Source organism: Homo sapiens, chromosome 12 (genome assembly GCF_000001405.40).
Source record: "Homo sapiens chromosome 12, GRCh38.p14 Primary Assembly".
Lineage (NCBI taxonomy): Eukaryota > Metazoa > Chordata > Mammalia > Primates > Hominidae > Homo > Homo sapiens.
Window position 1 is genome coordinate 88,524,523 of NC_000012.12, and position 14,156 is coordinate 88,538,678.

Consider the following 14,156-nt stretch of genomic DNA (forward strand, 5'->3'; position numbering starts at 1 on the left):
ATGACAATATTTTGGATACATGGGGCTAAATAAATTTCATTATACTTAATTTCAGCTGCTCGTTTTTATTTATTTTTTTTTTAGTGTTGCTACCAGACAATTAAGATTATGAACGTGGCTTCCATTGTATTTCTATCAGAGAATAATGGCCTAGATAATCTGAACAGCATCTTAATATAATCACTTATTAGGAAGACGGGCCCCTGTGCTGTAGTACAGTATACAAAAGAACTACTTAAAATAGCATTTAATGTCATATTTTATTCATTCAACTAACATTTTATGCTTATTCCTTTTAAATAAATACTTTCTTATTACATGGGAGATCGAGGCAGATAAATAGTTGACTACAAGTGTCTATTTGGCTGACGTCTATTTTTATAGAGAGAATGCCGCATCATAGGAGTGGAGCCTCAGAATCCATGCTTACAAACGGTGAACTTTCCCTGTAGCCATAGTTGGTTGGATGATGGTAGACACCTGACTTGGATAGGCCAACCAGAACGTTCCTCCCCAAAATTGGTATTGATCATTAGAAACTGATAATTAATCTCTGAATAGGGCTGAAATTGAAATATGTAAACCTGGCAGCTCTTGGGCAGTTACATTCTACCAAGTGACTGGAACAAAGGAGAAAATATCTGCACAAATAGAATGAGGCGGAGAAACAGAGATTCAGAGATGGAGAAGGAAAAACTGATAGTTTCCAATCCTGGTTCCAGTCTTTTCATGGGGCCTGTTGCACCCATGCCCTTAGGTGACATGCTATTCTTTAGTGTCCTTATAATAATGGGACTTTTACTATTAGTGAAAACCACAGGAATCTAAACTAATAAGATGGGCTCCTTCAAGATTTGGAAATCTAGCATTTTTGCCAAGAGTTAAATGTTTATTCATAACTATTTTTTGAGGAGCGACTATATGCATTGGATTGTCTAAAGAATGGTGAGGAGATACACAGGAGTAAAAGATTTCAACCTTGCTCTGTAGATAGTCAAAATATAGTAAAAAGAGAACACAACAACAAAATAATAATGATGGTATCTGATGTTATTATATGCACACCACAACTCATATTTTTTGTATTTTAATTATTTCTCACGATAATACTTTGAGACAAATATATAACACTTAAAATATTAAGCTCTATGTAAGCAATATATGATCATGTACCCAAGATGAATAGCTTCTGGACAAATTCCATAGAAGTCACAAGATAATAAACTAAAAGATAGGGTCCACATAGCAGGTGCAATGATAGTATTGCTGACCACCAAGCTCCAGCATCAAGCAAAACACTCAGCACAGAGTAGCACCTGATCAAATGATACATGGGAGAGAAAATGTGGGCTGAAAGAGCAGAAAATGTCCTTGTGTGAAAGAGAAATCTTAAACTGACCTTGGAGGAGATGACCACTAAGATGGGTTAAGCCCCAAGATATTGCATGATTCTATGGGTAGAATTTGGATAAGTGGATGGGAGAAGAAAGGGCATCCTTTGAGAACAGGCGCATTATTTTAGGAGGCAGTGATGCATGTGGCTGAGGTGGCAAGTTTGTGTTGGGGAATAATGGGTATTCAGATGAGTTGGTTAGGGTAGGGAAGGATTACAGAGAGTCATGAACATTAGGTTCAGGAATCTGGCTCTCAGCCTTTAGTAAATGGGAACAATAAGCAGGTTCTTGAATGCAAAAATAACTCAATTAAAGCAGTAGAACCAAAGGCTTAAAGAAGCTGTGATTCCCCAAAATTGCATAATACAATTCTTACACCTAAAATATTTCAAAAAATTCACACGTATCTAAAAGAAGATAATAACGTTGCAGTGCAGATACTGTGTGACGAGTTATAGGCACTCACCTCATCATTATAACCTTGTGAACTAAGTTCAAATCTGTGCCTCAAGGAAATTACAAATGATTATATGGTAGGGAAATTTTCTTCCTCCTTCCTTTCTTCACTTTCTTTCAGCAAATATTCATTAAATGCATATGAGCATCCATGAGGCACTGAGAATCTAATGCAGAGCAAAAAGAATATAGTTCCTACCTTTGTGAAGTTTACAGGTTGGTGGAAGATTATCTATTAAATCATCCCACAAATACATCCAAAACTGCTACTCTGAGGAGTGCGATGAGAAGAGTTTCCAGTAGAACAATTTGGTTTCATCAAAAATCAAAACCAAAATCTAAAAGAATCAGGTGTTAGCTAGACAAAAGAACCAATCAGGATTCCAGGAATAGAGAAAGCCAGGCAAGAAGCTATGTGGCAGCAAGGAACTGGTAACGATAACGATAAAGGACTGAAAAAGGATGTGGAAAGGTGCCAGATCAGTATAGTCTTTTTTTTTTTTTTTTTTTTTTTGAGACGGAGTCTCGCTCTGTCACCCAGCCTGGAGTGCAGTGGTGCAATCTTGGCTCACTGAAAACTCCACCTCCCAGGTTCACGCCATTCTCCTGTCTCAGCCTCCTGAGTAGCTGGGACTACAGGCGCCCGCCACCACGCCCAGCTAATTTTCTGTATTTTTAGTATAGACGGGGTTTCACTGTGTTAACCAGGATGGTCTCGATCTCCTGACCTCATGATCCACCTGTCTCAGCCTCCCAAAATGCTGAGATTACAGGCGTGAGCCACTGTGCCCAGCTAGATCACTACAGTCTTGGAGGCCTTGTTGAAGCAGCTCCTTTTCCTGTTTCCTAAGAGCAGCAAAAAGCCATTCAATGAATATAAAGAAACAGGAATGAAATGATTGGATGTATTTCTTTTTAAATCACTCTGTCTATTCAGGAAGAATCAAAACATCAAATAATAAATCCTCAGGTATCAAAGAAAATGGAAAGAGCCCAGAGGTAAGTAACAGGGCCAGGCAAAAAAAGATGAGAATAGCCAAGAAGTGAAATTGTGCATACCTGAGGAAGGGTACTGAAGAGGGAAGAAGTTTGGAAGGCTTATTGTTAGAGTGGCATCACATGCTGCCAATCACTTCCATATTTAGCTGTGCCTTTAAAAAGTCTGAACGAAAAACTGACAATGATAGCAAAGATTGGTTCAGGTAAGTATCATCAATAGATGCTAAATCTGTGGGAGAAACTTTGAGAAGGAGAAGGATTGCTTATATGGCCTTAAAGTGTCTCTCCCCAAATTGTGAATGAGTAAATATACATAAACAGTTGAACATCTTAACCAGATGATCAAAACAAACAGCACCATGAGGAGAGGATGGACTCTGTGTGCCTCTGGATGTGGTTACCTGAGCACAAATCATCACTTTCGTAGCATTGTCACTTGAATTGCATAAGCTCCACAGAAGCATTAAGAAACATCAATCAAATGTTGCAAAGAGAAACACTTTTCTTAAAGGGGAGGACTGTCTCATTCAAAAATGTCAGTGCCATAAAGACAAAGAAAGCCTGAGGAAATCTTAAAGGAGACTAGAGAGACAGGATGTAGTAGCTTATTATTGCTGCTATAACAAAGTACTACAAACTTGGTGGCTTAAAGCAGCACAAATTTGTTATTTTACAGTTCTGGAGGTCAGAAGTTTAAAATAGGTCTGAATAGGCTAATACCAAGGTATTCATTAGGGCTGTGTTTCTTTTGGATGCTGTAAAGGAAAAATCATTTTCTTTGCCTTTTCCAGCTTTCAGAGGCCATGTGCGTTCCTTGGCTTGTGAATCCCTCTTCCATCTTTGAAGCCAGCAGTGTAATATTTTCAAATCTCCCTCTCTGGCTCTGACACTCCTGCCTCCCTTTTATAAGAACTCATGTAAATCAGAGTGGGACCACCTGGATAATCCAAAATAACTTTTCCATCTATAAATCCTTAATTTAATTACATCTGCAAAGTCCTTTTTGCCATGTCAGGTAATATATTCCCAAAACAAGGCATCTTTGGGAGTCATTATTTACATGGTATCAAAATGAAAATTCCAATCCTAGATAGGATCTTATACTGAAGGAAAAGAAATGCAAAAAACAAAAAACAAAAACAAAAACAAAAAAGCTAAATTGAAATGCAGACCTAGATTAAAGTACTATAATTATTGTAAAATGTGTTGAAGTTGCAAATGTACTGTGTTTAGGTAAGAAAATATCCTTCACATAGGAAATACACACTGAAGTATTTAAGAGTAAATGGCCATGTATGCATCAGTATACAACTTATTCAAGAAGTTCAGAAACATAATAAAACACACATGCATACATAGAAAGAAAGCAACTGATAAAGCAAATGAGGCAGAATGTTAAAAATACTTGAAATAGGTGAATCTGGATTAAACGGCACATGGGTGTTCTTTAAATATTCTTGCAACGTTTTTGTAAATTTAAAATTATTTGCAAATAAAAAACTAAAAGAAAACTGATGAATATATACTTTAAGTAAAAATTGAAAAACGAATAAGATCCAGTGTTCAGTAGCAAAATAGGTGGCACAGTTAATAAAAATGTCTGTTTCAAAATAACTAAAAGAGTGGAATTGGAATGTTCCTAACACAAAGAAATTGTAAAGTTGAGCTGATGAATATTCCAGTTACTCTGATTTGATCATTACACACTGTATGGTTGCATCAAAATATCACGTGTACCCCATAAATATACACAACTCTTATGTATCCATAATAGCTAAAAATAAAAAAATTTTTTTAAAAATGAAGATTTTTAAACTCAAATATTACAAGCAACCCACAGTTTATGTAAATGCTATGGAAGTTCAAGTGAATGAAGGTGTGTGGCAACAATTCAGCAATGCCATTTTTATTCTTTCTACAATAACATTACCAGTAAATGTAAAAGACCAGAAATATCCAGGTATTCTTTAAGGTTAGGAAGTTAAAGGAAATTTCAACAGTCCGGCAATATAATAGTTTCAAAGAGTTTAAAATAGCATTGGTGATTATCGTTAGATTTAAATACTAAGTGGTTGATCACACCCTGCTATTTGTGAGACAGAATCTGCTAGGTAATTTTCTAAGAAGGACCTTGGAAAAGTGAACTCCCTTTTCTAGGAGAATTTAGCTGTTTTTTAAAATGAAGGCAAAATAAAAATAAAAATAAAAGTGTATTCTATTCTAGAGCTTTCTTCTGCCCAGTGCCCATGGGCAGAATTTTATTGCTTTGGCACCAGAGAATCTTTTTGGCACCCATTCCCACTCCACCCTCTATTGTTTAAAGACAAAAGATAAGGCAGCTGGGACTCTGACCACTCGCAAATAATCAGAGGCCTCCCCACTGGGAAACTCCTCTGGTCTTCGCAGAAACGAACATGTCAAAATGAAGGTAAAACAAAGGGTGAGACCCCTGGTTCTGTCCAATGCTCTAAACGTGGCCTTGTTTTTCTTGCCCATGGTGGTGGCCAAGAAGAACAGTGTTTCTCCAGTTGTGCCAGTATAGCATGCCAGAATCAATAGTAGATTTTTCTCAATTACAGAAACAAGCACAAAATATGTGGCAGTGAATCAGCTTTATTTTCACAAGCTTGGCTCTTGCTATCACAAGCCGACATTGAAATCTATGATTTAGCATATTCTATGATTATACCAGCACAAAAAATTCTATTTAGTTGTTTTCAGTTTAGCATTTGTTTTTCAAAGAGCAGCAGGTTATCTTTGGGTGCTTGGCAATCACAATCCTAAATGCTGCTGCAGTCAGGAAGGATCTGGGGTGGGTCTTTATTACCTAGAGGCTTCCCTTCAAACACTTTCCCTAAGTGTTGTAATTATATAGATCCTCACTTTCCGTAACCCAGGGTTAAGAGTCTGATGACCTACGGGTTTCTTTTTAAGACTCTGTCACGTTCTAATTGTATAGCCTTGGGCAAAATACTTTTGCGCTGTAAAGCTCAATATATCATTTGTAAAATAGGAATCATAATAGCTATTTTACCTTCCTCAGAGTTTTTCTAATCAGCCAAGAAAATTAATATGTGAAATCATTTTGCAAATGGAAAAGTGTTATAAAAAGGCCACATAATCCCCCCTGCCTGCCTTCCCAATTACTAAACTTTTTGAACTAAAGATCATTGCCTAATTGGTGTGTGTTTGTTTCTTCAAGTGTCTGCCAAAGTGCTGGCTCCTGGTTAGTTTTTCCTAACTAAATACTTGCTTAGTAACCAAATAATAAAATTAATTAACTTTCAGGCTGCTAATAATTTTCCATTTCTATTTCCAGAGAACTCCCCCTAACTCAATAGGATAGACATTGACATAGGCTTGAGGATAAATGGTTCAACATGAAGATACATGTTCTAAGGAATTCTAAAAAAAACTTTAGGTAGTTCATGCTAAAATGCTTACTAATAAAAAGAAATGTAGCTTTGACATTCTCTTGAAATGACAGCCTTGTAGTCTTTGAAATGCATTTTAAGCACAAGCACATAATGATGTGTTTAAATTGGTAACAACTTTGATGGACTGATCCACAAAAATTGGTCAAAACCTACACAAAGTAGATGTTTAATAAGTTTTGGTAGATTATGGAAAGATGAGAGTTGTAGAGAAGAGAGTAACTCAAATGGTTTTAAATTTACTCAAGAAACACAGTACAGTAGTTGAAATGAGTCAACATAAAACAACTTGTCAAAGCATGTTGAAAGATATAAGCGAACTTCAAAGTATAGAAGCTTAACATAAAATTATTAAATATTCAAAAAGTTCCATGTCTTATGTATGGGTGCATACACTGCAGTAAACATATAAGAGAATGCTCCTCCTGCTCTACATAACACTAGTGAATGCTGTCCACATTACAAGCCCTGAAAGCACACATTGGAATGAAAAAGTCCAGCTCAGAATAAGTGTTACCACTAAGAGACAAACTGGGGATTAATGAAGACAGAGAAGGAGCATACATAGGGCATTAGTTACATTTGTAATGTTTCATTATTAAAAATATATTTGAAGCAAATATTGCACAATGGTAAGGTTTGATAAGCTCTGTGATAGGTATACAGATATTACATTATTCTCTATGCTTGAAATATTTCTTAATGTATGAATTCTGATACTGTGTAATGAGAAAAATAATTAAAATTTCTTGGTTTCAGCAACAGAGTAGTACTTATAATAGTAAACACATACACTTGTTGTAAGGTTCTAAGAATCTATTGCACTGCTAGTAAATCAAATTGTGCTTTCAAATTAAACAAGTGAGGTAGGTCAGCTATGAAAAAGAATTTACATAAACTTACACTGAAGTCCTTTTTTAGGGGGATGCTTAAGGAAAATGAGAAAATCTGTGGCTAGGTCTAAAGAAGATAATCGTATTTACTTTGGAAGTACAGATGGCCCTCTGTATCCACGGATTCAACCAACCAAAGATGGAAAATATTCAAACAATAAGAAAACATAAAGCAAATTTTAAAAGCAGAGCATAACAATGATTTATGTAATATAGGCATTATATTCAGTATTAGAATTAATTTAGAATTAATTTAGAAATAATTTAATTTAGTTCCAAATTCCTGGAACTAAACTCCTGGAACACACAGGAGTTCCAGTGTGCCTTCCATGGTGAAAAATAAAAATTTAAAAATAAAGTATACAGAAGAATGTGCATAGGTTATATGCAAATACTATGCCATTCATAGAAATGACTTGAGCATCCTAGGATTTGGGTATCCTGATGGTGGAGTGAGTGGGGAGGATGGAGGGTCGGAAGGTGTCCTGGAACCAATTTCCTAAGGATAGTGAAGAACAACTATACAGGTCTAGGATATATGTGCTGAAATGATCACTGATAAAGTTTAACAGTTGCTTAAGAGGGGGAAAAAAAAGCCTGCAAGTCAAATTCCAAAGATAAATTCTTCAAATCCTGACAATAAGCAAGCTCCTAAATAGCAGCTAGTGTACTATCTCAATATGAATGATCCCATTTCTTCTATGAGCTACTAAAATGAAACTCAGAAATGTAGTTTACATACCAAAACATCCATCCCGGGGACATATTTGAGGGTTATCATGTAGTCTTTTGGAAGATTTGCCACCTACAGAGACAAAAAAAAAAATTCCATAAGAAAATTCTTATACATCAATTAATCATATTTGTAGTGCTTTGGAGAAAAGCACACAAAACTGTTGTGCTTTTTAAAGTTACCAATGAATTTCAATATTTACATGTATATTGATTTTTAATCCTTGATTTCCCTCTGTAATCAAAAGGCATCCTTCAAAATAAAAAAGTGATAATACAGATCTTTTAGACTCCAAATTCAGTTATGCCTGGCTAGGTATAACCTACTGAGTTTTGGAAACATGATCTGAATTTCAGCTTCCACCTGTGATCTTGGAATTCCCCTCAAGGACTATTTTCCTACTTGTTCCTCCATAGGATTAATCATAAAATACATGCTTTTTATGTCAGTGGTTCTCAAAATGTGGACCTCAAAGTGATGTGCCAGCAATAGGGAATCTGTCAGAAATGCATATTCTCAGGCCATACCAGAGCTACTGAATCTTACTTAACAAGTCCTCCAGGTGATTCCGATGTGCACCCAAATTTGAGAACTATTTTATGTTGAACCTAAAAAATGATCAGTGAAACTTCAAAAAAACAATGCTACTTATGAGATGCAAATGCTTTATAAGAAATAATTTAGAAAGATTCATTTTGTGATGTAACTTAATTCTCTTACCTTCGGCTGAACATTTGAGAAGTCTCAAATATTTGCCTAGGTTCTTTTGAAGGCTTTAAATAACGTCTGACTTACTTACATCAGTCATTCTGGCATAAGTGAATAAGCAATAGGTTTAGGACAAAGGAATCTGGGACAAATCTAAACTCTGTATGTTGGTTCCTCTCATTTATACAATGAAGATCAAGATACCTATGTCAAATGGTCATTTAGAATTAAGACAGATGAATGTGCCAAACACATTATAAACACTCAATCCATGTTCTTTACTGAGAGCTATACCGGCAACTGACTTTGGAGGCATATAACCCTAGTAAGTTACAGAGTTCTAGGTTCTCTTCCTTCCTACACACTGTACCAACTTTGCTGTCCGCAACCTTCTCTTATGTCACCATTAAAATTCCCAGATGAATAATTTAGCCAACAACTGACTTAGACCATTGGGTATTAAGATAACATATATTAAAAAGTAGTTTTGCACCATTACATCTTCAAGGGTCTATCTTGCTTTGTAGACTTATTTTTTCCTTCACCTTGTCTCTAAAAACTTTATCTTCCTTATAGAAAGCTAAGATCATGTGCATGTTTGCTAGACTAGGTCATCTCGCACAAGTTTACCATAACATTTTCTGTATGATTCTGCTTGGTCTTGTCAATAGCTTCTAGAATCTGAGAACAATTTATTGATAAATGAATTTAGGCATGGGCATAAGTAGTCACATGGGAGCTAAGATAGTAACTGATCTCATGGTGCTTACTACCATCCTACTTCCAGTAATGCCACCTGACACTCATTTCAGCTCTGAACTGAGGCACTTAGTATGGTTCCTCTTCCCTAAGTTCACATAATCATAAAATAGTAACAGTGTCTAACACGTATCAAATATTTACTATGTGCTAGGCACTGTGCTCACTATGGGCTTGGGCTGCATTATTACAATTTATCCTCAGATCCCGCTGACATATTACCTCTATTTAACAGATGAAGAAACTGAGGCTAGAAGGGGTCAAGTGCCTTGACTAAGGTCACACAGCCATCACATGTTAAGTCTAGACTAGAACTCAGGTCCCTGGAGAGAAGAGCCTCCCTTGTCTCTTAGCTCCACTACATATTTTCACACTCTACACCCTCTGGGCACTTGTTCTGGGTATTTTCCACTTGTGAATCTTCACCATCAACCTTCTTCATACCACCCTAAATAAAATATTAGAATCATTGCTGCTTTTTTTTTCTTTTTTTGGTACAGAGTCTCACTCTGTCACCCAGGCTGGAGTGCAGTAGCACAATCCTGGCTCACTCCAACCTCCACCTCCTGGGCTTAAGGAATCCTCGCATGTGTCAGCCTCTGGGATTACAGGCACGCACCACTACACCTGGCTAATTTTTGTATTTTTAGCAGAGACGGGGTTTTGCTATGTTGGCCAGTCTGGTCTCAAACTCCTGGCCTCAAGTGATCTGCCTGCCTTGGCCTCCCAAAATGCTGGGATTACAGTCATGAGCCACCGTGTCCATTCCATTGCTGCTTATTGAAAACACACCTGAGCTGCCAGACATGACGGCATTTTTGTTCATTTATTTTTGGCGTTAACTCCCTTATTCTTTACACTTAACTTTCTTCCTCTCAAACTTTCCACCAAGCTTCCATAATTTCTTTTCTCTTCTTAATCTTCATCCTCATCTTTGAAAGGAAAAAGCGTCTAGTCATTTTATGTAAACCCTAGTGACAAAGACAGAGCAGACCTGTTGCAGATGTGAAAGCGATAAGTAAGCAGCAATATTCTATCTCATTTTGAATAAACCAGGTAAATTAAAGGCATTCCAGATAGAAAAACGCAGCAAGAAGTGGCAGGTATTCTGAACACAAGCTGCTTAACAATCCAGCCCTTTCTTAAGCATAATTTATATTATTTTAAAAATACAAAAATACAATCAACTAGATTAGTATTTAGAAAGTGTGGGATCTGAGTATATGTCTAAAAAGCAAAGAAAATGTAAAGAGTATGGTGACCAATTCCATTTCATGAATAATTTATATACAAATATTGGTTCAAAGAAGGCTTATAGGAAGTTCCCTGATAAAAACACTGAAATCTACATTCTACCACTGGTGGTAGGGCAGTGTATAATAATAAAGTAATTTATTCGTTAAGCTGATTTACTGATATTCAATTTCTGGTGAGACTGAAAAATAATACTGTTTTTGAAACGTGCTTTATAATTTAAAACAAGTTTTCATATACAGTCTCTACCACAACCCCATGAGAGATTATATTAAGCTTATTTTACAAATGAGGTCATGGAAACTCAGAGAGGTTAACCGGTATCCCCAAGGTACACGCATTAGGAGTAACTGGTGCAGGTAGGATGCAAACCCTGGCTTTGTGTGCTGGGGCTCAGCACATCTACCTATAGCGCAGTATCCCATTATTACGTCCTTGGTTTTCATTGGTTTCCTTCTAATTACATTTGGAAGAGAACTTAGAAAGTCAAGTTGTAGATATTTGTGGTCGCTTAATAAATTATTGTGTTAATATTACTTTCTAAGCATTTATACAGATTGAACATCTCTAATCTGAAATCTAAAATAAAGCTACATGCATACAAGCCATGTCATCTTTGACAGAGTCAACAAACATACACAATAGGGAAAGGACTCCCTATTCAATAAATGGTGCTGGGATAACTGGCTAGCTATATGCAGAAGAATGGAACTAGACCCCTACTATTCAACACATACAAAAATTAACTCAAAAGGAATTAAAGATTAAAATGTAAGGCCCCACACTGTAAAAATGCTGGAAGAAAACTTAGTAAACACCATTCTGGACATTGGCCTTGGGGAATAATTTATGACTAAGTCCTCAAAAGCAATTCCAACAGAAACAAAAAATGACAATTGGGAGCTAATTAAACTAAAGAGCTACTACACAGCAAAAGAAACTACTAACAGAGTAAATAGACAACCTACAGAATGGGGGAAAATATTTGTAAACTATGCATCCAACAAAGATCTAATATCCAGAATCTATAAGGAACTTAAACAATTCAACAAGCAAAAAATAACCCCATAAACAACAAGTAAGCAAAAGACACAGACATTTCTCAAAAGAAGATATGCAAGGGGCCAAGAAACATATGAAAAATTGCTTAACCTCACTAATCAACAGAGAAATGCAAATCAAAACCACAATAAGACACCATCTCATAGGGGTTAGAATGGCTGTCATGTTGGTGGGAGTGTAAATTAGTTCAACCATTGTGGAAGATAGTGTAGCGATTCCTCAAGGATCTAGAACCAGAAATACCATTTGACCCAGCGATCCCATTACTGGGTATATACACAAAGGATTATAAATCATTCTACTATAAAGACACATTCACACGTATGTTTATTGCGGCACTATTCACAATAGCAAAGACTTGGAACCAACCCAAATGTCCATCAGTGATAGACTGGATAAAGAAAATGTGGCACATATACAGCATGGAATAATATGCAGCCATAAAAAGGATGAGTTCATGTCCTTTGCAGAGACATGGATGAAGCTGGAAACAATCATTCTCAGTAAACTAACACAACAACAGAAAACCAAACACCACATGTTCTCACTCATAAGTGGGAGTTGAACAATGAGAACACATGGACACAGGGAGGGAAACATCACACACCAGGGCCTGTTGGGTATTGGGGGGCTAGGCGAAGGATAGCACTAGGAGAAATACCTAATGTAGGTGAGGGGTTGATGGCTGCAGCAAACCACCATGGCACGTGTATACCTATGTAACAAACTGCACGTTCTGCACTTGTACCCCAGAACTTAAAGTATAATTTAAAAAAATGTCAAAAAACAACAGATGCTGGTGTGGCTGCAGAGAAAAGGGAATGCATATACACTGTTCAGCCACTGTGGAAAGAAATTTGGGGATTTCTCAAAGAATTCAGAACTACCATTCAACCCAGCAATCCCATTGCTGGGTGTATATCCAAAATAAGTCCTTCTACCAAATAAACCCATGCATTTGTACGTTCATCACAGTACTATTCGCAATAGAAAGACATGGAATCGACCTATGTGCCTATCAACAATGGACTGAATAAAGACAATGTGATACATATACACCATGGAATACTATGCAGCCACAAAAAAAAACAATAAAATCATGTCTTTCGCAGGAATATGGATGCAGCTGGAGGCCATCATTGTCAGTGAATTAACACAGGAACAGAAAACCAAATATTGCATGTTCTCACTTACAAGTGGGGACTAAACACTGCATACTCATGGAAATAAAGATGGCAACAATAGATACCAGGGACAACTAGATAGGAAGCAGGAAGACAGGGTTAAAAAAACTACCTATTGGGTACCATGTTCACTACCTGGGTGATGGGATCAATCATACCCCAAACCTCAGCATCATACAATATACCCAAGTAATAAACCTTCAAATGTAGCTGCTGAATCAAAAATAATAGTTGAAAGTATATTAAAAAGAAAAAACCACAAATATTCTAAAATCTGAAAAAAAAAAATGAAATCTGAAACACTTTTGGTCCCAAGCATTTTGGGTAGGAAATATTCAACCCCGTAGTATATTGACTCACCTTCCAGAAAGCACAGATAACCATGAAATAAATTCTGCTTCTCTGATATATATCACTGTGGAAAGTTTCACAGAGTAGAGGGAGCCTATGGCCTGCAACTTGGAAAATACTCCTTAGAGGCAGTGAATTTAATGTATGGATTAATAGCACAGGTTCTGGAGACAGACCACTCAGGTTGGATCCTGGCCCTGAAACCTACTAACTCAGAAGTCTTGGGCAAGTCACTTCATCTACTTCAGCCTAAATTTTTACATGTGTCACATGGGAATCATATAGAATCTAGCTGATGGATTTATAAGGATAAAATAACTCATATAAAATACTAAGTGCTTAGTTAGGCATGGTATGTGAATGAGTATGAATTTCTATTAATACTAAATGCGAGGGAGTGGGACAGTCTAGATAGAGGAAGGGTCTTATGCAAAGGCAAAGAAATGGGAAAGCTCATAATGTGTTAGGGAGACCAGTTAAGAGATAAGAAATATTCCAGGAAAACTGCCTTTGAGAGAGACCCTCCAAATGTTGAGCTAGGGAGGTCAAATGGTAGGTAGTAAGGTACAGTAGGAACAGTTCTACCATCAGAACTCCACAGCAAGTTGCTTCTGCTTAGACACATAGCATCATCTCTGTGGAAGTTCTACTCCTTGTCTGTAAGATAAAGAGGGCAAACTAGATAATTTCTATAAATTCAGTCTGGTTTGACTTACTTACGTAAGTGGTGATGCAACACTGAATGTGTTTCAGCAGAGAAGGAACCTGGTAGTAAAATACCAAGATTAGTATGGGAAGACAGTTTGGAGCAAAGAGAAAACAGAGACAGACAAAAGATTAGAAGACCACTAGGAATTTGAATATACATTAAATGTTTACATGCAAACTGGAAACTAGAAAAGCAGGAACCAGGTCTAGAGTCCAGGGAG

The 14,156-nt window shown here is 36.7% G+C and overlaps 1 protein-coding gene across 2 annotated transcripts in view; it reads right to left on the reverse strand.

The window, feature by feature from the left end:
• The window catches only part of KITLG (KIT ligand), an 87,679-nt gene that overhangs the window by 31,730 nt on the left and 41,793 nt on the right, over positions 1-14,156 (reverse strand). For both annotated transcript variants that reach the window (NM_003994.6, NM_000899.5), the window contains exon 3: positions 7,919-7,981. In NM_003994.6, the coding sequence (NP_003985.2) occupies positions 7,919-7,981 (63 nt within the window). The remainder of the gene's footprint in view (positions 1-7,918; positions 7,982-14,156) is intronic.